General features: G+C 44.0%; 1 protein-coding gene and 1 pseudogene across 2 annotated transcripts in view, besides 2 other annotated features; both read right to left on the bottom strand.

Annotated features, from left to right (window-relative positions):
• The window catches only part of ZNF831 (zinc finger protein 831), a 135726-nt gene extending 132104 nt beyond the window's left edge, over window positions 1-3622 (bottom strand). For both annotated transcript variants that reach the window (XM_047439881.1, NM_001384354.1), the window contains exon 1: window positions 3505-3622. The gene's annotated coding sequence lies outside the window, so the exon portion shown is untranslated. The remainder of the gene's footprint in view (window positions 1-3504) is intronic.
• Window positions 4434-4983: an enhancer, noted in NCBI's record as "OCT4-NANOG hESC enhancer chr20:57697082-57697631 (GRCh37/hg19 assembly coordinates)". NCBI's record gives its function as "activates a minimal SCP1, AML or CMV promoter by ChIP-STARR-seq in naive H9 embryonic stem cells {active_cell/tissue: H9 hESC(naive)}" and the evidence as "EXISTENCE:reporter gene assay evidence [ECO:0000049][PMID:30033119]".
• On the bottom strand, window positions 13078-13935 carry MRPS16P2 (mitochondrial ribosomal protein S16 pseudogene 2; annotated as a pseudogene).
• Window positions 20446-20947: an enhancer, noted in NCBI's record as "NANOG hESC enhancer chr20:57681118-57681619 (GRCh37/hg19 assembly coordinates)". NCBI's record gives its function as "activates a minimal SCP1, AML or CMV promoter by ChIP-STARR-seq in primed H9 embryonic stem cells {active_cell/tissue: H9 hESC(primed)}" and the evidence as "EXISTENCE:reporter gene assay evidence [ECO:0000049][PMID:30033119]".

Genomic DNA, 26564 nt, shown 5'->3' with positions numbered 1-26564 from the left:
AGGGGACCAGTTGGGTGGGGCAGCAACCCAGGCAGAAATATAAACATGGAGCCCATCGGCATTCCAACAGGCGCTCAAAGCCACACTCTCCACCACTTACCCAGGAGAGAGGGAGGAACGGGTCCTGCAGCCCAACACCCAGAGCTCAGAAGAGGAGAAGCCACAAAGACGACGGAGCCAGAGTGACCCATGAGCTTCACAGAGAATCAAGAGTTTGTCCTAGAGGACAAGCAAGAAAGTCTTTCCAGAAAAGGAGAGTGACCAAGCATGTGCAAGGTGGCTGATGCGGACAGCAAGCGGAGAGGAGAGACTATGAGTGCGTGGCCTCAGGCCATGCATGCATATGGAAACGGGGCGCCATGGAAGCTGAATTTCAGTGTGTTTGAATGAAAATGGAGGACAGCTGGAGACGGGAGCAGGCAACTCTTAGAGGAGACAAAGGGAAGCAGGAAAATAGGGTGTGGCTGGAGGAGAGTATAGAATCAAGATCAGAGAGCTCTTTCTAAAAGGATAGAAACAAACTTCAGTGTGCACACCCAGTACCTGGGTATCTTGTTAAGGAACAGAGCCTCAGAGTCTGCATTTCCCACAAGCTCCCCACAGTGACACTGCTGGGACCACTTGGAGGAGCAGGGCATTTAGGGTGCACTAATCTGCAAGTCACAGAAGCCAGCACTTCTGAATGGCTGAAACAATAGGGACTTCATGTTATTTTACAATCCAAGAGTTCCTACAGCAAGTTATAAACACCTTGGAGGGTAAAGAGGAATTGACACGGGGGAGAGAGAGGGGGCTGTTCAAGAGCAAAGTGCTCTGGCACACGTGGGGAAGGTGGCCTAGGATAGGAACACAGGCTGCTTAAGAAATGGCATTTCCTAAAGAAATCTGATACTTCCAGCATGGGTAATGATTAAAAGTAACTTCTAACCAAGTGTGTTCTGCCAGCCGGGGACGTTTGCATAAGGGACACTCAATAACTCTTTGTTGATGGATTGATTTCCAAGTGTGGCTCCTGCTGAACTCAAACACACCAAGGGTCGTTTATAATTGGAAGCATCTCGTTGCACCCACCTGGTGGGCCCAAGTCCTTCAGAACAGTTTGCTCTCAATCCTGCTCTCACGCCAGCCAGCCCAGCCTCCATTTAAATTATCACTTCAAAATTGGTGAGGCCTGAATTAATGAGATTTTACTGTAGTCACGGCTTTAGATTAAAATCGATGTGGTACCCAAACACGAGTCAATGAAAAATGGTTGGGTAAAGCAGAAACTAATAAACAACTCTCTCATAATTTTATTTTAGAGACCAGCTAGGCCCTCCACCTTCCTCCCTGAGCTTTTCCCCAATTCCTTGACACAGCTGAGATTTCAAAATCTGCATAGCTAACACCTCCTACTCTGTCTCGAGAAAAAATTGAACCCAGTATTGTCAAAACCCAAGTCCTCCTCCACAGAACACGTTGGACAAAAAGTAAACCCATCGGCGGAGCTTCTCAGACGTCAGTATGCACACGAAGTGCCTGGGGATCTCACTAAGGAACAGAGGGTGATGCTGCGGGGGGGTGGGGAGAGCCTCAGAGTCTGCATTTCCCACAAGCTCCCCATGCTGATGATGCTGGGGCCACTTGGAGGAGCAGGGCATTTAGGGTGAACTGATCTGCAAGTCACAGAAGCCAGCACTTCTGAATTGTTGAAACAATAAGGACTTTGTATTATTTCACGTATCAAGAAGTTCTACAGCAGGGTGAGGCCAGGGATGGCGAGTGCGCAAGAGCCACAGCTCCTAGCAGTGACCCACGTCCTTTCTATTAATATCTCCCTGATCTTGCATCCCCAGTGTGCAAGCTCTGTCCCCAGGCTGTCACATTCACAAGATGGTTCACGTAGTCACAGGCATCACATCTAGTCCTAATAACGTCCAGCCAAAGAAAAGAGACATCTCTCTTCTTTGAGCCTCTTTTTAAGGAAATTTTTTTCAGAAGGCCCCAGCAGGCATTATCTTTGCCTCACTGGCCAGGCCTAAAATACTTGCTCGCTCTAGACTGAGCCCTGGTCTAAGGAATGTGACAGCCAGAAATGATCGCCTCCAATCAGACTTGACCCCGTGCACGGGGATGGGATCCTCATCCTGAACACACTCCCAGCGTGGAGGAGGGTGGACACCGAAACCAACTAGAGGTTCCACCAGCAAAGATGAGGAGTGGCGGGCTGCCAAGCCCACTGCGATAAGAGCCATTTTATTCCACACTGAGCCTCTCGAAGGGGCCAGCCCCTTACACGAGAGAGATCTGAGGTTCAGAGAGGTGACCTGACAAGCACCCCTGTTTTCTGACTACAAGCTCTGTGTTCCCTTGCGTGACCTCCTCCTTGCTGGGGTGGTGAGCCCAGCAACAGACAGCAACGATCCTGGACATGCTGTACCCACGGAGGCGTCTGGCCCCACTGCACAGGCTGCTTAGGTACATCTGTAATCCCCCAACCCGGGGTTTAGAGTCAACAGAAGCCAGATCAACAGCTAATCATGCTTGTGAAGCCCAGATGATTTCAGAACTTGGATTGCTAACCCTGAGACAGATGGTGAATCAGGTACACAAAAACAAACCTTATGTGGCACTGAGGGATGTTGCCAAGGGACAAAAGAGGTGACAGTTTTGTTCAAAATCAGACTCTGTACCCAGCTGTGCTTCCAGCCAGCCTATGGTAATATGAGGCCAGATGAGACCACCAACACAGCCATGATTTTTCTTTGGCAATGGGGCCTGAGGAATGACCCTAGAGGCTAGAGTCATAGAACACAAACAGGCATCCCAGTGTCCTCCTCCCGTTCAGAACCGAGGGAAAAGAAACGGCCATAGGAAGAGTTTATTTTTCCTGAGCTGCTGGAGGATCACCTGACATTGCCACCAACACAGATTATTTTGCGTAGGAGTCCACCCCACCTTGTCCCCGCACCTGAACCAACAATCCTGACCTTCACGGGGAATGGTAAAGGTTCTCCTGGCAGGAGGAAGACCTGTATTGCCTGCTCCGTGTGCCCTGGCTAAGCTAGTTTGAAGTCAAAACTTTAATATCCTTTCAACTGTCACTGACTTCAAATATGCTTCAGAGAGCTTCTTAATCTGGTTTATGTTCTGTGGATGAGATGCCTGATTGGAGCCCAGAAATGCTGCTGTAAATCAAATGCCCCGATTAGAGACACTCCTCAGAAAGCAAGATCCCTTAGCAGCTGTGTGGCTGGGCTGGGAAGACCACCATGCTCCTGGGAATTAATGGGTAGCCCACTCCCCTCACCTGCACTGACCCTGTCATCGAGTCACCTCCACATCGCTCTCCTTGAGCTTTCTTCCTCCTTGCCCTGCTTGTCAAATACAGACAGGGCTGCTGATTTTGTCTACACCCCTACCTTTCCCCATTTGGGGGTCCCCAATAACCCCCGGCGCTGCTGTCTGCTGGCTCCTCTTTCCTACGGGGTGGTGGCCTCCTTAGACTTCTGGGTCAACCCCTACCTCATCACAGCAGGCCATGCACAGAGACTCCACAGAAACAAAGGCTTGGAAAAAGTCCTCCACCCCCGACGGAACTTCTTAGCTGGGGTTGTTTTGGTGAGACAGGATGTTCACATCTGAAATGTGCCTCTGAATATGCAAGTGGGTATTTGCCCATCATTTATTTGCTATGCATAAGATTTCCACGCACGGCTGACGATTTTCTCTCATAAACAGATGCCCCAAACTTCCTTTCTCTCTCTCCCTTAAACCCAACATCTGGGCCATCTACGTGGATGCGCCATTCTATGGGGGTAGCCACATGGGGGTGGGAAGGAGATGCAGTCGAGAGAGCTGAGCTTTAGCCCTAGAACGGCCGGAAACTTCCCAGGGACTTTGGGCAGATCGTCAAACCTCCCCGGGGTTCAATTTCCTCCCTGACAAAGTGAAAAAAAAAAAAATGAAGCTAGTGTTGCCCCACCTGCCTGCCCAGCCAAGCTGTAGGGAAGAGGAAATAGAAAATGCAATGGCTTTGAAAATTAGAAACTGTGACATCCAATTGTATGATACAGAAAATGACACAGGGCATCTGAAAATGGACCACCAAGCCTCCCGAGGGAGATTCTGGATCCAGTTGAGCCTCCTTGGTACTACTTCAATGAGTCTGAAGAGTAGAGGCAGAGTGACATGATCATAGTAGAAAGAATAACACGCAATTTATTGCAAGCTCATTGCAGGTTAGACACTGTGTAAGTGCTTCTCATGCATTAGTTCACTGAGTTCTCACCACCCTCTGAGGCTGACATTAGTGAGATCCTCATCTTACAGAAAGAGTTTACGAGGTCAGCTGGTTTGCAGAATGTCACACAGCTAGTAAATGGTGTCACTAGGACTTGTACTCAGGTCTGTCTGACTCCGGGCCCTGAATGCTTACCCACTAGACTAGACTAAAATCCTAATGGCACATTAGACTGACTGCGAGCAGCCCTCTTCCCTCTCAGGACCTCAGCTTCCCTCCCAGCTGATGGAGAGGATGAGTAAGGGACTCGATGCTGTTCAGACCCCTTCCAGCTTGAGCAAACTCTCATTCTTGGAATGAAGCTTGGCTGAGAGCAAATTGTGAACTCTTGAAGGAGGCACTTAGTGACAGTGCCGCATGCTGCTCCCTGGCTGTGAGACTTTTCTCCTGCTGTGGAGATGGGCCATGAAAAGAGAAGGGCTTCCTGTTGTTCACTTTATAGCTCCCCATTCAGGCAGTGCTTCTTCTAACAGACTCTCAAACTGCATGGAGGCAAGTTGTTGTTTTGCTGGGAGAAGGGAAGCTTCTTTAGGCTAATTTCCCCCTCCTCCTGATTCTTCCTGTTCTTTGTAGTCTTTTGCTTTACCAGACTCGGATTTGCAAACCTGTTGTCAAGGCAACACTAGGTTTCTCTCTTTGCACTCTAATGTCTCAATGGGGGTATCCATGGCAACAAGAATACCTTGCGCTTTCAAAGTCAGTGACCTTCCAAAGCTTCCTGGGATGTGTGGAGTTAAATTATGTTTAGACAATTTTTTACCACAGCTACCAATTTAGTACCTAATAAGCCTAACTGATGACGTCTGTAACAGTTAGCTTTTGCTGTGTAACAAATAACCCCAGAAGTTAGTGGCTTAATCTGAAAAGTATTTATCATTGCTGTAGAGGTCAGCTGGGTGGTTCTTCTGGTCTCAGCTGGGCTTGCTCATGCTCACCTGACTGAGCTCCATCACGTGTTTGGGGGGCATCTGGCTGTAGGCTGGATCAGGAGGGACTCATCCAGGACAATCGGGCTCTCCTCCACATGGTCCCCATTCTTCACTAAGCTATACCAGGCTTTTCCACACAGAGGCAGTAGGCTGCTGAGGCAGGGACAAGGGAGGGAGAGTGTGAGCAGACAGAAGCCACAAGGGCGCTTGAGGCCTGGGCTTGGGACAAGCTCAGCATCTCTTCCACCATATTCCATTGGCCAAAGCAAGCCCCAAGCCAGGCTAGATTCAAGGGGTAAAGAAGTGGACCTCACTTCTTGATGGGGGTGGGGAGGATGGCAGAAAGGTCACATTGCAAAGAGAATGAGAGAGGAGGGATGGAGAATCGTGGCCATTTTTACAAACAATCTATCACATCATCCTTCCACATTTGTTGTGGAAATATTCAGGCACTACATACATGTGAATGGAGCCTCAACAGCCAATAAGCAATCTTAGCAGAGATGACATGGAACCCTCAGAATTCTCAAACCTCTCCCTGCTCCCTCTGGAAAGTGCTCTTCCTCCTCGGGATGACGCAGGTGTGAGCTGTAGCACAGCTTCCGTCTATGCATGTTGGTCAGTCCACCTGAACCTCACAGATTGAGAATACCATGGGTCCCCAGGGGAAAAGAGAGATGCTGTCACCAGAAAAAGGGACACTGAGTGCTAGACATCCAAAAACAACAGATGACTCTGTAGTCCTCCCCCAGCCACCACTCGCCGAGAAGCAAAAATCCACAGTGCATCAGCAGTCACTTCTTTAGCATGAGGAATGGAGTGATTTCTTATCAGGTGAAACCTCTTCCAACTGTGAACTCCTGGAAAATTTCAGGATTTGATCAAAACTATTTCTAAAAACAAAACCTGGAACTTTCAGCTGTCCTGATCCTAGACCAGGAAAGCAGGAGCAGCTTTCCACTTTGCTGCAGGAGCCTGCTTCTTTCCTGAGGCTGGTGAAGGAGGCTGTGCTCCGGAATGGTGAAAGGTGGAGGGTCACCGCCCCTGGGGAATTACCACAGTGACAGTAAAAACCACAATGACCCTCAAATGTGTCCTAACCACATGCCAGGAGCTGCTCTCACTTAACCAAAGTTCACTTCCTGTTAGCCAAGATCTTTTTGGTAGTGACAGAAACTCAACCCAGACTGGCTTGTTTGTTGTCAAGAGGAATTTAGGAACTTGAGGAAGTGAGGTCGGGCTTAAATAGTTCGTTCAAACGTGGCCAGATCAGGATCTCAGTGACGTCGGCACCTACATCTCCCTTGGACCCTCTGATCAGCAGCAATATTGTTCCAAATACCACTTCATTCATAGGATGTCTTGGTCCCTCACAGAGACCCCAGCATCTACAATTTTATCCAGTATCTACTGGGCTCTTGGAAAACAAACTAGGGAATGGATGACTGTGAAAAAGAAATGTCTTGTGCATAACAGCTTCTTGGACAACATGACATTTCCACTTGGGAACTTGAAAACCATTCTATATGCACTTGGCTCCAGCAGGAAAAGACCCAGGAAGGACTGAGCCAGAGCCTGAGGTATCTCCTCCCTAGCATTTCCCTCAGAAGCAAGGAGAAGGTTGACCCACTTGTCAGAGGAGGACCCGTCTGCTCCTTTACCGATCTGCACCCTGTCACCCATCATCCCTCTTTTTGCTCTCCGTGCATCAGCTAAGTAAGTTATTCTCCACCATTTGGCCTTCAAAGAGCAGAAGCATAAGTGTTTCAGAACAAGCCATGCAATCCACTACGAACGCTTACATCTCTAGGTGCTGTGGCTCCCTCTAATCCCCCGGTGATTCATCCGCTTTAAAATTCCCGCTTTCCTCCCACTTCTTGAAATGTAAGGAGCACCATGTCACCACGTAATCAATTCCCTAATCCCTAGTTTGAAAACTTATTTTTTAAAGGTGGTTGTTTTAAACAGAAGCAAAAAAAGAATATCACAGTGTGAAGCCATGCCAGGCCATGGAGGGAAAAAGCAACAGATGGGGATGATGGATGAGACTTTCTGCATGCTTTTTTAAAATGAGTTTTTAAGGTAACTTGCAAAATGCATCAGGGGCAGTGATGATTAATTTATGTATGTAATCTCATTCATGTGTGAAAAACAGCAGTTAGAAATCACCCAGAATAACCCGTACACAGCTTCCCTTGTTATCCAAGACTTAATAAGAGAAATCCTTGTCTGATCATTATTAGTGAAGCAGCTTTTTATGAAATATACTTCAGATCAGCAGCAAATTCAATGGCTGGAAAGTCAACAGGAAAGCAACATGTCAAAATGGATTCATCGCCTGCACTTTTAGTGCTTTCAGATCATTTTCTAATTCACCAGTGTGCTGATTTTCCATGACAATGCTCCGTGTTTGTCCACATTTAATATGAAGAAATTGAACCGATAAAAGAAAAGGAGGCTCGGACACCTTGTAGGTCAGGGAGTGTGTTATTGGCTATTTCAGTAAATAATTGCTTTTAATCTAGTTTAAAGCTCTGTAGCCCCACGGGCTTCGTTGGCTTCTTCTTGTTTGTTCTGTGATAAAGGTACACTTCACATCTTATAACACATTCGTGAAATGTCCACATTTGGGAATTAAATCACGGTTGTAGCACAGTCAAGATATTTACTTTCCAAGCTGAAGCTCCCCCAGGATGGGGACCGGCGTTGTCCCTGGCCACATCCCCAACACTGTGTTTCCAACAGAGCAGGTTGCAGCCAATAACTGCTGAATCAGTGAAATCTCCCCTAAAAGCCTCCTTCAGTGTTTTAATGACGAGTCCTTGGATTGATAAATTTGTGTAATCCCGAATTCTCCACACTGAGCTTTCCTGAAGTATCCCTGAGAGGGGGAAGCCATTTTCTCAGATCATGGGGAGAAAGCTAGGGTCGGGCTAGAAGACCAACCCTCAGCACATCAAAGAGGAGTGGCCATTTGGTTAACTTCTTCAGGTGTCTGAACACGTCATCCGAATGTAATACATTTGGATAACTATTGAAAGGTACCTCTTGTGGAGACAGGGCCAGGATAGTGGTAGGGTGGGTAGGAACTGCTCCACCTGCTCCTCTCATCAGCCACATCACAGGCATTTCTGTGTGTGCTGTTTTCTCATTTTACTCAATGTTCTCTCCACTGAATAGGGATCCAAAATCCCACACTTGGCAATGTAATGATTTTGAAAAAGCCTTTCCTCCAATTTTCCTTTCATCTATCACTGCTATCTTCCCCAACAAAGAGAGTTGGCAATTCAGCCTCAAGAAGACGCGATGTCATTGTTCTCTAGTTGGAACAGGAAGCCTCTCGCTGGTTCCCCAGAGTTGCCATGAGGACACTCTCCATGCAAATTTCATCTGGACATCAACTCAGAAATTTTTGTGCCACGTTGAGGCACAATATCCGCTGAGGATATTAAGGAAGAAAAAATAATCTCTTGATGGAACATAGAAATGAAACCTAAATGTGGCCCCGAGCTCTGAGTGCTTATGGGCATTTATCAGCAGGTTCAAGGGTGACAGTGCCTCAGGTGCAGAAGCTGTGCCATGCATTCAGAACCCTTAGTTTCATCTGAAGCTGCACACCTTAAATTCCCAGCCTTTCTTACAAAAAGTGAGGGGCAGGAACTTGGAGAGGGAAAGAGCTTTTGAGTATCTGTCCCAGTAACAAAAGATTTCGGCTCCCTTCAGGTAGCCACATCCCCTCCAAAAACAGCTCAAAACATAACTTCTGCAATACAGGAATGGAAGTCATTCCATTTACAGACCCACAGAGTCAAGAAACAAGGGCCTCCTTGGAACATGAGAGCCAGTCCTTTGGTACAGACTCTCCAGGACATCTTGGCCATTTATTAGGCAGAATTTGAAACCTGCCACTCGGCAGGGTGGGCCTGGGAAGACCCACACACACACACCCAGTCAGGGCAGCATCTGCTTCCACAGGGTGCCCAAGCCCACTTCCACTTCTTCCCACAAGTAAATTAGCTTAAAAGATTGAAGGTACATTATCTCTACTCCTAACCACAAAGACTTGGGGTTTTATGGGTTGTCAAGGCAACAATAGCAGTTTTCTCTCTGACTCTTTAATCCCGAGATTTATGTTTCCATAGTTACAAGAAATCCCTAGTTCTTCAAGGTAACATAAACTGGTCTCCCAAAACTTTCAGGGATGAGATTGTGGCCACTGGCCAAAAACCACGTACACAGGCATTGAAGACCCCTGTGCTGACCTGCTCACCATTACCCTGGAGCTGGGTTTCTGCACCCCTTCCTGTTCTTGAGGTCTCATTTGTAGTTAGGAGTGGTTCCTTTAGTTAGTTAGGCCACTCCAGGAATTTGCAAAGTTAGGAAGTTAGAATGGACCCAGGAACTGGAGCTCCCTCAAACCATCAGGCTGAATTTGTTAGAACCACTGCTGCCAAAGCCACCACAAAGAACTCTGCCAAGTCAAAGTCACCCCTTGGTGGCTGAACACAGCAATGACACAGGGTCAGGGCCCTTGGAGAAATGGAACCATCTGGAGCCCCCGGAGATGACATTCCTGGGACTTCCACTCCCAACCAGCCCCAAGCTCTGTAACATCAATTTCTACAATCCAGGAATTCATTTTTTTCTCAGAATTAACTCACACAGACCTAACCTTCCAGACATTTGTACAACTGGGCTCACAGAATTTTGTTTAGGCCAATAGGTTAATACATCATTTCTCTATAACTTGTAAGGACTTGTCGGCCTTTCCTGAGATTTTACTAGGTCAGGAGCATTCTAGCAAATAGTTCAAGATTGTTGCTCTAGAGCAGTAGAAACAAAATCATGTGTATGTGTGTACATATGTATGTGTGTACATGAGTACATGTATGGTATGCATGTGTGTACATGTATGTGAGTACATGCATGGCATGCATTGTACCTGTGTGTGCACATGCATGTATGATGTGTATGTGTGAGAGTACATGTATGGTCTGCAGATGTACATGAGTACACGCATGGTGTGTGTTTACATGTGTGTGACAGTATACGTGTGGTGAGGCTATGAGTACATGTATGGTGTGTATGTGTACGTGTGTGTAAGAGTACATGTTTGGTGAGTCTGTGTGCATGTGTGTGAGAGTACATATATGTTGTGTATGTTTACATGTGTACGAAAGTACATATGTGGTGAGACTGTGTATGTGTGTGAGAGTACATGTATGGTGTGTATGTGTATGTGAGAGTACATGCATAAAGACTGTGTACATGTGTGAGTACATGCATGGTGAGACTGTATGTGTGTGTGAGAGTACATGCATGGTGTGTATATGTGTACATATATGACAGTACATGCATGGTGTGTGTGTACATGTGTGAGAGTACATGTGTGGTATGTGTACCTGTGTATGAGTGCATGCATGGTGTCTGTGTGTACGTGAACACATGGAGTGAGGGGCGAGAGGGAGCTGACCCTAATGCATGAGTAATACTGACAGACAAAAAAGGAGTGGCCAAGCTGAGAACCCCAGACAGGAGCGCAGCAATGGGGGCTCACAGCCCAGTTCTGAAGCTCTTCCTTGTCATCAGTGACATCAACATCCTGAACAACGGCTGTGGCCTCCCTTTGGGATGAGAAGAAGGCACTGAGCAGGTGCTGAAGGGAACACAAAGACAGGGACCCCATCTCTGTGAGTTTTCTAGGTCTGCCATAACAAAGTTCCACAAACTGGGCAGCTGAAACAGTAGAAACGCATCATCTCATAGGCCTCCAGACCAAGGCCTCCAAAATCAGGGCATTGGCAGGGTCAGTTCCTTCTGAGGACTGTGAGGGGAGGATTCATGCCAAGCCTCACTCCGTGGCTTATGGACAGCCGCCTTCCTGTTCACATGAGATTTTCCCTGTATACCTAACTGGGTCCAAATTTCCCCCCGTACATGGATGGACACCAGTCATATGGATCACAGCCCACCCTACTCCAGGATAATCTTAACTTAGCACATGTGCAGTGGTCTCATTTCCAAATAAGGGCACATTCTAAGGTACTGGGGGTTAGGGCTTGAACATATGAAGTTATGAGGCACAATGCAACCTGCAACACCAACCCTGACATTTTAGAGGAAGAGATGACACCTACTACTCATTGTCCTTGACAACAACCACTATCCCATGTCCATCTGCAGAGAAACAACCAAGGCTAAAGAATGTCTCTAACGTCACACAAGCAATAAGCAGCGGACTCGGGCGTCAAACCCAGGACTGCTGGATTTCAAAGTCCTGACCTTAGGGCACAAAAAGCCAGCTGATGGTACCAGGCTATACTGGATACATACTAGAATGACACAAGGACCAGGATCTTCCTGGAACTTCAGAGCAAGGAGATTCTTTCTGAGGAGGGCAGTCAGGGAAGGCCCTTCATTTCAGGGAGGTGGTGAGATCTGGGCCAAGTCTTAGAGCAAAGTAAACCAAACATTTTTGTGCATCAAAACCTGCAATCAAGGAATTATTAAAATGAGCCACAAATTGTCTAATTATAAAACACTATTTTAGTTTATCTTAATAATAAAATAAAATTTAATAATAAGACCTATTATGCAAATGATCACACATATACCAAAGTTGAGAAAACAATAGAACAAATCCCCATGTACCTACCACCCAGCTTCAGTGATTGTTTTAGTATTTTGCCACCTCATTTATCTACCCACTCTTTTCTGGATTGTTTTATAGCAAATCCAAGACAGTGTATTATTATTACTTTTTAGCACATTGAAATATCCTTTTATTGCAATTCAAATTTTTGAAAACCAGGAAATCAAATTAATTATTATGCTCTAGCCAAATACCTAATACTACCTAATGTTTTCTCTTTTTTTTTCTTTTTTCTTTTCTTTTTTTTTTTTTTTTGAGACAGGGTCTTACTCTGTCACCCAGGCCTCCTGGGCTCAAGTGTTCTTACTGCCTCAGCCCCCTGAGTACCTGGAACTACAGGCAAGCACCACCATGCTCAGCTAATTTTTTAAAATATTTTGTAGAAGTGGGGTCTTGCTGGTTGCCCAGGCTGGTCTTGAACTCTGGCTTCCAGCAATCCTTCTTCCTCAGCCTTCCAAAGTGCTGAGATTAAAGGCATAAGCCACTGTCCGTATGTTTTCTTTACATTCTTTCAAGTTACTTTACTTCAAATTCTTGATGTTGAATTTTATCTCACTGACTTCAGGCTTTTAAAACACATGGAATACTTGAGACCAATGGATGGTTCTTTGAGTCAAATCAAAAAGTAGAGCTAAAGTATACTGAAGTTATTCAAATACATTCGAACTATACAGACCCCTTATAAATTACTGGCATCAAGGGAGGAAGGAAAAGATACAAGAAGTAAAATGTATCACTCACCATAGGTCATCAAAATTATTGGTATACAGTTTATCCTAACATACAGCAGCTTTCTCTACCTGCTCCATAAAATTACCAGCAAGAAAGAAAAGTACAAGAATAAGGTTCACAGCTGAATTAGCTTGGTGTCATAATTCCCTATTCCAGTATTCTCAGAAGGATCCCATCTATGATACATGCAGAAAATGCAGCCACATTTGAATGGTTCAGTCTTGATTCATTCTGAATTCCCTTAAGCCCAGCACTTTCTCATTCTTAAAAGGTAGGTTATTACAACCAAAAAGCAATTTTCACAACAAATCTACCTTTTGTATATTTGATCATATGTGTTAAGCAAGACAATATAAATCTCCAATTACAAAATCAATAAGAAAGGTAACTGTTCTTGCGCTTGTGGGATGAACATGAAGATATGGAAGATATGAACATGAACAGTCTGGCTGGGGGCTTTGAAGCAGTAAATATTGGAAACCCCAGCAGATTGTAAAGTGTCCAAGAGACCCAGAGCCCAACTCAAAAGTCCAATCCTCCCGTAGCCACTGTCTTTCCCAAGACAAAGTCCAAAAATCTAATTAATACCTAGCCCCTGCCTTGTGTCACACAAGAACAAATCTCTCCCTGGGCCCTGTGCGGGCCAGGCCAGAAGAGCAAGGGTGACTCAGGACACTCCATTTATTGACCTCTGAATCTAACAAAATTAAGATCTCTGCACAGTATTTTAAGAGGACCTTGACCCTGTTCTCACTGCTATGCTCACTGAAGTCAGCTCACTTGTGTTCCTGTAGCCTCTGTATCTGTAGCCTCTGCATCTGTTTTCTGAGAAGCTAAGAGGACTTCAGGTGCCCATTTCCTTCATAGTCTCACGGCACTTCTGATCATCATAGGATGCACAGGGAAAAACCCAGCAAGACCCACTAGCTTTTCCATAGGCTTAGAGAGGTGGGCCCCACAGCCAATCCAATGATGGATCCAGTCCAGTTTGAGGACAGCAAGTTTTTCTCTATGACTGTTGGGCAATGGATCATAGGAGCCCAGCTGCTCTACAAAACGGCCATCCCTGGGACACCTGTGAGCAGCCACAATGCGGTAGAAGGGCTGGTTGGTGCAGCCACCCAGGGCAAGGCAGATCGTTAAGTGGCCCCTGTAATAGGCCTTGCAGAGGGGAGTAGTGAGGTGGACCATGGTGTGGCCAGTGCGCAGCTCCTTGGAGCATCCTGCTACCCGCATGGACAAGCTCTACAGCCTTGGCGGGGCAGAGGACTGACACAGAAGGCAGCTGCAGGTGGACACTAGGCTGCACCACCCAGCCATCCAAGCCCGAAAGCCTCAACCAGATAGTGTATTATTTTAACCATCATTACTGTTAGATTACATCTCTATCAATTGAAGATACTTTTTACATAACCACAATGCTTCTATCACACCTAACAAAATTAGCAAGAATATCTTCTAACATCCAGGAAAAGAAACATTTTTCTAAGTGTCTCAAAAGTTTCTTTTTACAGTTAATTTCCTCAAATCAAGATACAGACATGGTACACATATTGCAGTTGATTGAATATGTCTCTTACATTTTTTTTTTTTAATCTAGAGACTCTCCTTCCCCACCTTAGGTCATTTCTCCTGTAGCAAGTTTCACATTCTGAATTTAGCTGGTTGCTTCCTTGTAGTGCCATTTCACTTGTTCTCCTATTCCCCACATTTCTGAAGACTGGTAGTAAGCACTAGAGAGATTCAAGCTAGATTCAAGTTCAAGTTTCTTTAAGAATATACGCGGTGCTGCGTACTTACTATTGTATCCCATCAGGAGGTGCGTAATGTTGGAATACCTCACTTCTAATGATGCTAAGATTGATAAGTGGGTTTAAGTGCTGTTAGCCTGGTTCATCCCCCTTAGATCTCCCCATTCTCTCCACTGGCTTTGTAGCTAATGGTTTCAGCAGCATCCAGGATTGTTGCCTAGATGTGTTATTTCATTAGGGATAGCAAACAGTGATAATTCTACTATTCCTTCTTCTTCCTCTTGTTTTTTGAAACAGGGTCTCACTCTGTTTCACTCCAGCCAGGCTGGTCTCACTCCAAACCAGGCTGAAGTGCAGTGGTGCAATCACAGCCCACTGCAGCCTCAACCTCCTGGCCTCAGGTGATCCTCCCACGTCAGCCTCCTGAGTAGCTGGGACTACAGGTGCATGCCACCACACCCAGCTCCTTTTTGTATTTTTTGTAGAGACAGGGTTTTGCCATATTGCCCAGACTGGTCTAGAACTCCTGGACTCAAGTGATCAGCTCACCTCAGCCTCCCAAAGTGCTGGGATTACAGCTGTGAGCCACCACACCCGGCCTCCTTCATTTATTTTACAAAGAACTTTCCCTCATCACCTTTTTACCACAAAATACAGTTGGCACAATAAGGCAGTATAAAAGCTTATTTCTTTGCTTATAAATTTTCAGAATAAGTTAGTGCCTTATCAATGTTCAGGAGCAACCAAAGAGTTGTTTTCTCATTATCACTTTGGCAATAATTGATTTGCTTCAAACAATTGCAATCATTATTCTTTTTTATTGTTCAAGTTGACCCCTCTTTGCCAGTGGAAGCCCATGGTGTTAGCTCCTACTTCCTTTTGACATGATTCCATTAATCTTTTATAGCTTTCTTGCTTTCTGGCAGAACAAAAATTCACATGTCCAACTTGCATAGGTCCTGCTCCAGACCTGGAACTGGCTATTTCTCTAAGGAACTCTGGTTCATTTTGTGGAAAATGATATTTAGAGACCATAATCTGGACATGTGATTGCTAAACACTACTGGGTTAGTCATTTCCAGGACTTTTCCATGGACAGAGTTAAAAAATACGTAAAGGATTGTCTGAGCTTCATCAGTGACAAGTTAAAAAAAAAAAAAAAAAGAAATATGTAAGGGGCTTTTGTTGTTGTTGTTTTAGAAAGGGAAAGGTAACTCATGAATTTATACTGATACATTTTATTTAAATTTTAAGATTTTAGGGCTTTATTGAACATCTTTGGATTTTATATGTACATATATTTACTTTTATACTGAAAATTTGGTTCCTAAAGTTATTAACATAATTTCCACTTACTTTAACCTACATTATCATATAATAGTTTCAAAACAGCAATGCCAATATTATTACTTAAAATAAGGCTTTTGAATACTAGTTAAGATTTTTTTTTACAGTTCCCTTGGTCTTAAGGATTATTCTCCCAGGGATAAACAGTTCAAATACTGTGTTTAAAAGTCATTTGAAATAATTTTTTGTGTGTGCAATTGAGCACCATTTTAACATTCACCTAGATTCACTTATTACAATTTGTTTTCAATTTTTAAGTGTTGCTATTTTTTAATTTTCATGTTTAACTATGTGAAATATGTACAGGGCTCCAAAGCCAATTCTATAAAATGAGGTACCTTCTCACATGTCTCTTTCATGTCTGCCTCCTTCACCCAATTTCCTCCCCCCATCTAGGTATCCATGTTAAGTAATTTTTTGGTTTATCTTTTCATTCTTTTATAAAAATTCTTTATATACATTCATATTTTAAAATATATTGTAATATATTAATGTATTTAAAATATATTTAATGTTTTAAATATTATTTATTTAAATATATTAAATATTTATAAATATATATTTATATATTAAGTATATATTTAAAATGTATTCTAATATATATTTAAAAGAATAAAACATATTCTTACATAGAGAATAGAATATATATATGTTCTCCCCTCGTTACACAAAAGGAGACTACTATTAATGCTATCCTACACCAGGTTTTTTCCCAATTAACGATATACACTGGAAGCTACTCCATATAAATATATGAAGATATTCATCACTTTTTTTTACAACTGTATAGTACCCTACTGTTTGGATTTACCATAGTTTACTCAGCTTGTCCACTATTGATGGACATTTGGTCATTTCCTACCTTTCTCTCTTACACATAATACATTAAGAGTTGTTGTGTCTTATGAGAAAAATGCACATTTTTATTACTTAGCTATGGTTGAACTAAAGGATGCCAGTGGGAAGAACTATTCCCATTTTCCCATGAAAATTCACTATTTGGAGAAATTAGAGAGGTGACAAAAGAATGGCAGCTGGCTTTTGGGAGGCAACAGCTCAGACTTTAGAATCAGTAAGACCTGAGTTCAAATCCTGACCCCACCATGTCCCAGCTATAGGGTTCTGAGCAGGTGACGTTACCTTTCTCATCTTTGAGTACAGCAACTGTAAAATGGGGAATTATAGGACTATCTACTTCGTGCTAGTATTTTCTGTCAAGAGTAAATGAGATATCCCACATATAGCCTTGACCACATAGTAAGTGCTTTGTACATTTAGCTATAATTTCCAGCATCATTTTTTTTCCTAATTTTTGAATCTTTCATCACAAAACGAGGAGGGCCCAGATGAATAAGGGGGCTGTTCTAAGCAAGGGAAAGGCAGACACCCCTGACATGCAATTGGGATCAACATCTCACCCCCCTCAGCTGGCTGAAAAGGTTCAGGTAGGGAAGTAATAGGTCAATGGCTAAGTGTTCCCCAAAGAGAATTTACTCACTCTGCTCTTATTTTAGAAGTAGAAACACCATCACCACCTTCTTTATTCCTGCAGAAATAGGTCTAAATAAAGACTGACCTTGTCCTGCAGTTTCTTGGCTTGCAAAAATCACTGGTCATCTCCAGTCCTCCACACCCCTTCCTCGGCTAACCAGTCAAAGCCAAAATCCTGAGTTAATGGGGGCAGATGTCTGTCCCTGACTTAATTCCAGGCCAAGCCACACTCACTCAGAGCCCAGTGGAGCCTGTTCACCCACAACCCTGACCTCAGAGCAGTTGTGAAGCTCCAGCTCAGGAACATGTAACTTTCCAAGAAAGAAAGTTGGTTCCTGCCAAGAAAGAACATCAAGTTGTCCCCTCAACTGACCTCCAGGAGTACTGGCATGGAGCTGTGGTCATGAGGAGATGCTGGCCCAAGCCAAAGGAAAACGTGTTTCCATTGGTTCGCATGATCCTGCAAAATGCCTCTAGGGCTTTGAGCAGGGCCTTTGGAGCCTTCAAGGTCACCACACAATCAAGAAGCCACCATGGGCACAGCAGTGTCCCAGGCTCAACAGTGCAACAAGAATATAGTCATTCATACAGGGAAAGGGTCTTGTTGATTGAATCCCCAACGTCAGGTGACCCCTAAGTAATTAGTCCAAGCCAGGCCTTACCAGCAACTGGTTGACAAAAGGACATGTGACCTAGCCTGACATGGCTGGGGAAGTCTGGGAAATATCCCCTCTACAAATGCTTATCTGAAATGGAAGCTGCCATCTTGCTTCCTGACCGAAGTTGAAGCTAACACATCCTGGAGGGCATGAGCAAAGCTAAGGCCCTAACTCCGAAGCCTGGAGCTGACCCACCTATGGACTTCCTGTTGGCCAAGAAGATAAATTCCCTTACAATTTCAGCCAATTTAAGGATTTCTGTTACTTAAAGTCAGGGGTCAGGGAGAGGAACAAAGTAAGAGTTCCCTGCCCTCTGACACACGAGGAATTCAGACAAGGAAGCAGGCAACTACCATTTAGCTACTATGCTGTGAAGGAGGGGATGCTTTCAGTGCTCACAAGCTAAGCTGAAACCTTATAAAGAGACAGTTAATTTCCTAGCCATTCGCCTTGATATCTATGTTTGGTTGGATAGTGCCCCTCCAAAATTCATGTTCTTCCTGGAACCTCAGAATGTGACCTTATTTGGAAAGAGGGTTATTGCAGATGTAATTAGTTAAGGTTACATAGAAGTAGGGGAGGCCCTAATCTAATATGATTTGCATCCTTATCAGAAGAGAAGATACAAGACACACAGGGGAGAGGGTCAGGTGCCAATGGAGGCAGAGATTGGAGTGGCACAGCCGTAAGCACAGGAGCAGCAGGTGTTGCTGGCAGCCTCCAGCAGCTGGGAGACAGGTCTGGAGCAGACCCTTCCCCACAGCCTTCAGAGGGAGCACAGCCCTGCCTACACCTTGATTTCAGACTTCCAGCCTCCAGAACTGCAAAGGAAACCATTTCCGTTGTTCTAAGCCTCCCAGTTTGTGGCCATTTGTTAGGGATGCCCTGGGAAATGAATACAGCTCCTTCTTTAACAGACCACATTTTTTTAAAGAAAAACTGATACATTTAATCATAATTTAAAATATCAATCCTTCAAAAGACATCAGTAAGAAAATGAATAGGCAAGTCATAGACTCATAGAAAATGTCTATACTATACCTGTCTGATTCAGGAACAATTAAGGGATTATTATGAATTTGTAATAAAAAGACAGCCCAATAAAAATAGGTAAATGTCTCGAACAGAACCTTCACAAAAGGAAGTACATGAATGGTCAAAAAGTACATCAAAATGTGCTCAACATCATTAGGTTACAGGAAAATAAAAATTAAAACCACAGTGTTATACAATTTTATAGACACTAGAGTGAATACAATTTTAAAAATTGACAGCACTGGCTGGGCATGGAGGCTCATGCCTGTAATCCCAGCACTTTGGGAGGCCAAGGCAGGCGGATCACTTGAGGCCATGAGTTCGACACCAGCCTAACCAACATGATGAAACCCCATCTCCACTAAAAAATACAAAAATTAGCCAGGCATGGGGGCGCACGCCTATCATCCGAACTACTCGGGAGGCTGAAGCGGGAGAATCACTGGAACCCGGGAGGCAGAGGTTGTAGTGAGCCAGGATTGTGCCACTGCACGCCTGCCTGGGCGACAGAGCGAGAGTCTGTCTCAAAAAAAAAAAAAAAAAAAAAATGACAGCAGTAAATACTGGCTAAGATGTGGGCCAAGTACACCTCCCACATATTGCTGGTGGGGATGTAAAATAACACAACCATGTTGGGAGAACTCTTCTGGATATATTGTGAGGCAAAGACAAGCAAGATGGAGAAAAGGATGTACAATATGCTCCATTTATTTTTTAAAAGGTAGTAAAGTCATAAAAATCTATTTTACAAAATGCCATGAATGGGACATGAGAAGCTCCACTTCTCTGAATATACTTTGCAGAACCATATTTAGAGTAATGGGAGGAAGAAAGGACTATGTGCTCAGCTGAAAAAGGAAAAACTACATTTCCCAGCTCTCCCTGCAGAGCTGTGCCACAGTTCTGGCAGATGAGAGGTAAGCAGCAGCGGCCAGGTGGATGGACCTCAAGGTAACCTCCTTAAAAGACGCTTGTGGTCCTTGCGGGTTTGCCCCCTACCTTTCCTCTTCTTCCTGCCTGAGTCCAAAACTTGATGGTTGGAGCCGCAGCGGACATCTTGCAACACAGAAAGGCGGGGGAAAGGTCAGGAATGTTGCAAAGCCCTTGGACCAGGTGTCTGCACACCATCCTCAACTGTCTACCCTCAGACTTCTTTTTGCGAGAGAAAAAAGTCAACCCCTATCTTGCTGAAGTTTCTCCTATTTGGATCTTCTGTGACACGCAATCAGCTGAGTCCCTAACAGACACCCACCCGACAGATGAGTAAGAGTCACGTCAATGACCAGAGAAGAGAACATGTCTTGGGCAGAAGATGCTGTGTGTGCAGAGTCCCAGATTCAGACAGTAGCCTGATGCATTCGACCAAGGTGTTCAGATGGTGGCACAGGATGGAAAAGACATGTTGAAGAGGGATGAGAGCCAGAGAGGACAGCAAGGATCAGACAGGGGAGGGTGGGATAGTCACTGGCAGGGCCCTAACTCTTCAACTGGGAGGCTCAGCGCTCTCCAGCCAACCGCCATGCCTTTCTTCATCCCAGGGCAGGGAGAATCCAGAACCAAGATTCCACATTTGCCCATTGTGGTTTTGTCCTTAATGGTAAGCATGGGAACTTTCAAAGCAGAAGCTGGATCCCTGTTTTGTGAATTGAGTTGAATTATGGTGTAGAAGGAATTATGATGTAGAATGTGGCTCTAGGGTTTGAACTCAAGGAAAACATCCTCCTCTTCAGAATAAGGGATGGGTGGGGGGCTGATCTTACCTCCTAAGAAGTCAAATGCATCACTGAGGTATCCCTGTTGACCTGCAGATAAAAAGAAGCTCACTGCAATTAGGGCAATTAGGGAATTGAGCTGCTAGACAAAGAGAGTGAATATTCTGGGCCACAGCAAATTCACCTTAGACCTGAAATCTGATCTCGCTGTCTCTGAGGTTTCCAAGCGGTAACTTGGCTCCCTCACCCTGCTCAGTCTGATCCTCAAAACCCCAGGAAAATAACAATAACCAAAAAGGGAGGAAAAAAATAAACGAAGAAACAAATCAAATGAAACTATAACAGGTTTGTGATAAGATCCAGAGAGAAGCTGAGGCCAGGAGAGAGCAAAAGCCCTTAACAAATCATAAATGGCCAGCTGCTCTTGATAAGCCAGCCATCCAAGAAGCCATGTCCATCCACCAGTTTCGAGTTCTCAGCTCTCCAAAAATTAAATCTCTGCACCAAACCTATATCCTGGCAGCCACAAGTGTGGGCCAAAGGACATCCACCTTCACCCAGTTGGGATCACGTGGCTAAGTCAAGAGGCCTGCCAAGAGCTGTGCATGGAAGGACAGGATCACAGGAATGGCCAGAGCCATGATGCCCCGGGGAAGAATGCTGGAGAACTCTAGGGCTTTCCACATCAGAGAGTCCCCTGGGAAGGGCAGTGGGAGGCTGGTGAGAGAAGAATGAACCTTCCCTCCCCTAAGCACTTTCCAACGCAAGGGCAGCCCCAGCCTGCTGTTTTCCCAGTGAGCTTTGCTGCCTTTTTATTTCATTATAATAGCCTCCTGAAGAAAACACATACAAATATAATGCTCTTGGTTAGGACTGAGTTAGACATTATCCTGCAGAATATTATAATAAAGGCAGGGATTATTTATATGCTAAAGAAAAGTTCAAAATTATTATATTCATCACCGCAGGTAACTTCGGTAAGACATGATTGGCAGGTTGGTTTCATTTTTCATCAAGACCAAGTGGATGTTGCAGAAAGGAGAGGCTGCTGCCCTGTAACAGAAAGGCACAAGACTGGGGCAGGAAGTCTCTGGAACTGTCTCTCGACCTTGGCAAAGTGGACATTTGTTGTGGGGCCATCCCATGCACTGCAGGGTGTTCGGCAGCATCCCTGACCTTCATTCCCTGAATGCCTATGACATCCTCTCCAAAGCTGTGACAACCAAAAATGTCCCTAGACATTGCCAGATGTGCCCTGGAGGGCAGAATCAGCCCCATGGAGGACCACTGACTTAGAAGAAGCCAGCTCTGTTATGTACAAGCAGCCTAACCTTTAGCAAATCCCTTCCCCTCTCAGCCTCAAGTTCCCCATCTGAAAAGAGCCCCATGTCTGCCCAGCTGGCTCTGAACTTTCGAGAAGGTCAAATGAGGTCATCACGGGAAATTGCTTTTAAACCTCTGAAGTTCTGTATCTATAGAGGTTGGGAGGTCTGTCACTTGCTACCTGAAAAGTTTTTAATATCTATAGTTACTCATTTTTATCCTGAGTGCAAACTTGGGTTCCTAGAGCAGAGCTCAAACTGACTACTCACAGCAGTAACTGTGCTGATTTCCCGTGCCCCGTGTCCTACAGGGACCCACTGAGAACCAGCTGTCACCCTTCATGGACAGGATCTGTATGGCAGGAGAAGAACCCCAAAATTATGAATCTAGGAGCTTATACATGACAGCTTATGGACCTCTCCCATCCTGAGAGAGAAAGAGACAGAGAACCCTTTGCTCCCCAATGTCTTAAGGCCCTTTGGAATATAAATAATTCATTTAGGAAGAGGAAGTGGGAGGGCCCTATCCCAGGATGAATATATTTGGCTCACTCCTGGAATGGAAGCCCACGGCTCTAGGTCTAACACCCTTTAACTTCCAAAGTTTGTTCATCAGCCCAGGTGCCAGTAATGTTGCCTTAGACAGTTCAAATGACACAGAAACGAAAACACTTGCTTCTTCATACCAAAGCCAAAAATCTGGATATTTTCTTTGGTTCGTTCCTCTCCATCATCCCCTCCACCCCATCCCATTCTACCTCAAGGCATGTTTTGTATCTGTCTGTCTTGCTTTGTCTCCTGACACTTCCTTAGTTGGGGGCACGACCTGCGACAGCATCCCTGATGTCTTGCTAACTCCTCTCCACCCTGACTCCATTGGCTAACAAAAGTCACGTTGCTTCTCTATTGAACATTTTCTGTGACTCCCCAGCACCTCATCATTGACCAAGCATGCAAGGAGTGCACCAAAGGTGCCACTCAAGATGGTTTTGGGTAGTGCACAGATAAACATTTTTAATTTTAATTTTTCCAATTGCTACTTTCATGGCAGGTAAGCCTGGTCTTCCATTTACAGCTATACTACAATGCTTCCTTCTGAAAATACATGCATTTATTTTCTAAATGCTAAAAGGTGAATTTAAATAGAAACTTTAAATAAATAATTGAATGGGAAGATTTTAATTTCTGCAAATATGGTAAAAATGTATGAAAGACAGAAGCTTGGGGATCACTGACCTACAGTTAAGAGTGACAACATCTTTGCCTATGAAAGCTTCTTCATGCCTATGGGAGATGCCTTCCTTCCTCCCTGATTTCATCACCCGTCACTGCTCTTTCACTGCAACTGCTATCCTCTACCACACACACCCTTCCCTTTGGACAAGAGAATGTTTAGGGAGTTCTTTTACTTGATAAGCTCTCCACCTCCCTATTTTATTAAAATGGGCTTCCAGGGAAATTTATGCAAACAGTATGTATCACTACCTAAAATTTTAAGTATCTTATGCTTCTTGGTTCATTGACTGTCTCTTCACTAAAATCTAAGTGCAGTGTCAGCAGACACCAGGCCTGTTTCCCCCACTGTATCTGAGTATCTAGAAGCATGCCTGGCACAGAAGAGATATTCATTCAATGTTGAATCCGATTAGACTATAGCTCCCAAACATGTCAGTCTGCTTTCCATGAGTATGACAATCACAGCAACATTTCCTCTGCCCAGAACACTCTCTTCCTTACCTTCCTGGTAAACTCCTACTCATTCTTCAAAACACTTCTCAGACATCACCTCCTCTATAAAACTTCAGAGTTAGGTGTACCCTTCTCTTTCTCCCTAACACCGTGAGTATACTGATAACAACAACAACACCATCACGGTTTTTCAAGTAGTGATGATTCATGAAGCATTGAGCTAAGCACATTACATTTGATAACTCATGTAATCCCCACAAGGAAACTGGAACTATGAATATCCTCATTTTACAGAGGAGGAAACCACGGCTTAGACAGGTTAAATCACATGACCAAGACCACAAAGACATTAAGTGGTACAACAAGGATTTGAACCTACAGAATCAGGCTCTGGTACCGACAGAGGCAACTGGTTTTCCACACACTGGCCATGGTCAATATTGTACTGCAGGGTAATCATGGTTTACTTCTTTGGGTTCTTTACACAACAGGAAACTCCCAGCAGGAAGGAGCCTTGTGTTACTTCATTCTGTAGCCTTATTGCAGAAGATGTAAGGAGGTTGGAGTGACAACTTTCAAGCTAACAACAAATACAAAGCTGGACAAACTGAAAAATCAAACTCTTAGATCCATAAGAGAAGTGAGGTGAAAGAGCAAAGTGCTGCCCTCAAAACTGGGGAGTCAGACAGGCAGATACAGAAATGTCAACCTATTGGAGCAGATACCTATAAGCAGAAACCTCTACCATGGGAACCAATACTAGAAATCCTGAACTGTATGTGACAAATTGCTAGAGACTCAGTGTAGACAAGTCTGAGAGTAAAGAACTCCAGAAGGACCCAAACTTTTATGAGTTTTACCTCCAAGAGCTGGACCAGTTTCTCACAGTCAAGAGTGGAGAAAAATCCCCTTATGTTTCCATCAGGGGAAGGAAAAAAGTAAACATTTAAAATACTCTAGAGCATTATGTTCTTCTTAACAAGGTCTGCCCTCAAGAGAAACTATTTAACCAGAGCCTAACAAGCTAGGGTCTTATCAGAGCCTAACTGACCTGCGGGAAGGGATATAACCAACTCCAGCCAACTCTAGCCTTCCACGTGGGAGAAGGGAAACACCCAACTCCAACTGGCTCTAGTCCCCACAGGGAGAAAGGGAAATACCCAACTCCGGCACGTTCTAGCCATCCTGTCCCATATAAGGGAGACCAAAAAAAAAAAAAACAAGAAACACTTGAGAAGCTCACAGTCCCAGGGCACAGGCTCACTAGAAGACTATGGCCTAATCAGAAAAGTACAGAAGGCTTCCCCTCCCCGTAGCTTACCACCACAGTACTAAAGGCCTATTTATAGCACTGCCTTTTACCCAGTACATCATGTCCAGCTACCAAGAAAAATTACAAGGCATACTAAAAGGCAAAAAAAAAAAAAAAAAAAAAAACAAAAAAAACACAATGTAAAGAGGCAGAGCAAGCATCAAAACCAAACTCAGATATGTCAGGGATCTTAGAGTTATACTGGGAATGGAAAACAACTATGATTAACATGCTAAGAACTTTAATGGATAAAGTAGACAGCATGCAAGAACAAGTGGGTAATGGAAGCAGAGAGATGGAAATTCTATGAAATAATCAAAAGAAATGCTAAAGATCAAAAACACTGTAATAGAAAGAAAGAATACCTTAGGTAGGCTTATTAGTAAACTGGACACAGCTGAGGAAAGAATCTCTTAGCTTGAGAATATTACAATAGAAACTGCAAAAACTGAAAAGCAAAGAGAAAAAAAGGACTGAAAACAAACAGAACAAAATATCTTAAAACTGTGGGACAACTACAAAAGGTATAATTATACATAATGGGAACACCAGAAAACGAATAAAGACAGAAAGGAGCAGAAGAAATATTGGAAGCAATAATGACTGAGAATTTTCCTAAATTAATGTCAGACACAGATCTTATACCCTTCACAAAAATTAACTCAAAATGGATCACAGACATAAGTGTAAAATGCAAAACTATAAAACTCCTAGAAGATAACATAGGAGAAAATCTAGATGACTTTTATACAATACCAAAGTCACTTTTCATGAAAGAAACAAAGGTGAGGTCTTTCCCCACAAAGCCAGGCAAAAAAAATCTGATTAGCTGGGCTTCATTAAAATTAAATTTTCTGTTCTGCAAAAGACACTGTCAAGAAAATGAAAAGATATGGAGTCACAGACTAGGAGAAAATACTTGCAGAAAAACGTACCTGATAAATGTCTCTTATCCAAAATATACAAAAACAGTGATATCAGCAAGATGGCCTCATGATAACCATAAAGCAAAAACCTATAACAGATACACAAAAGCATCCAAATTGGAAAGGAAGAAGTTAAACTGTCTTTCTTTGTACATGACATGATCTTATATATAGAAAATCCTAAAGATGCCATAAAAAATCTGTTAGAAATAATAAAGAAGTTCAGTAGAGTTACAGGATACAAAATTAACATGTAAAAAGTAGTAGCATATCTATACGCCAACAACGAACTATCTGAAAAAGAAATTTAAAAAATCGCATTAAAAATAACGTCCGATTATCAAAAAGTCAAAAAATAAAAGATGGGCCAGGTGCTCTGGCTCACGCCTGTAATTCCAGCACTTTGGGAAGCTGAGGTGAGTGGATCACCTGAGGTCAGGAGTTTGAGACCAGCCTGGCCAACATGGTGAAACTTCATGTCTACTAAAAATACAAAAATTAGCCAGGCGTAGTGGTGTGCACCTGTAGTCCCAGCTACTCAGGAGGCTGAGGCAGGAAAATCACTTGAACCCGGGAGGCAGAGGTCGCAGTGAGCCGAGATCACGCCACTGCACTCCAGCCTGGGCAACAGCAAGACTCCGTCTCGAAAAATAAAATAAAACAAAAAAATAGATGCTGGCAAGGTTGTGGGGAAAAAGAAATGCTTACACACTGTTTGTGGGAGT

Source organism: Homo sapiens, chromosome 20 (genome assembly GCF_000001405.40).
Source record: "Homo sapiens chromosome 20, GRCh38.p14 Primary Assembly".
NCBI lineage: Eukaryota > Metazoa > Chordata > Mammalia > Primates > Hominidae > Homo > Homo sapiens.
This window is presented reverse-complemented; position numbering and strand designations above follow the sequence as displayed.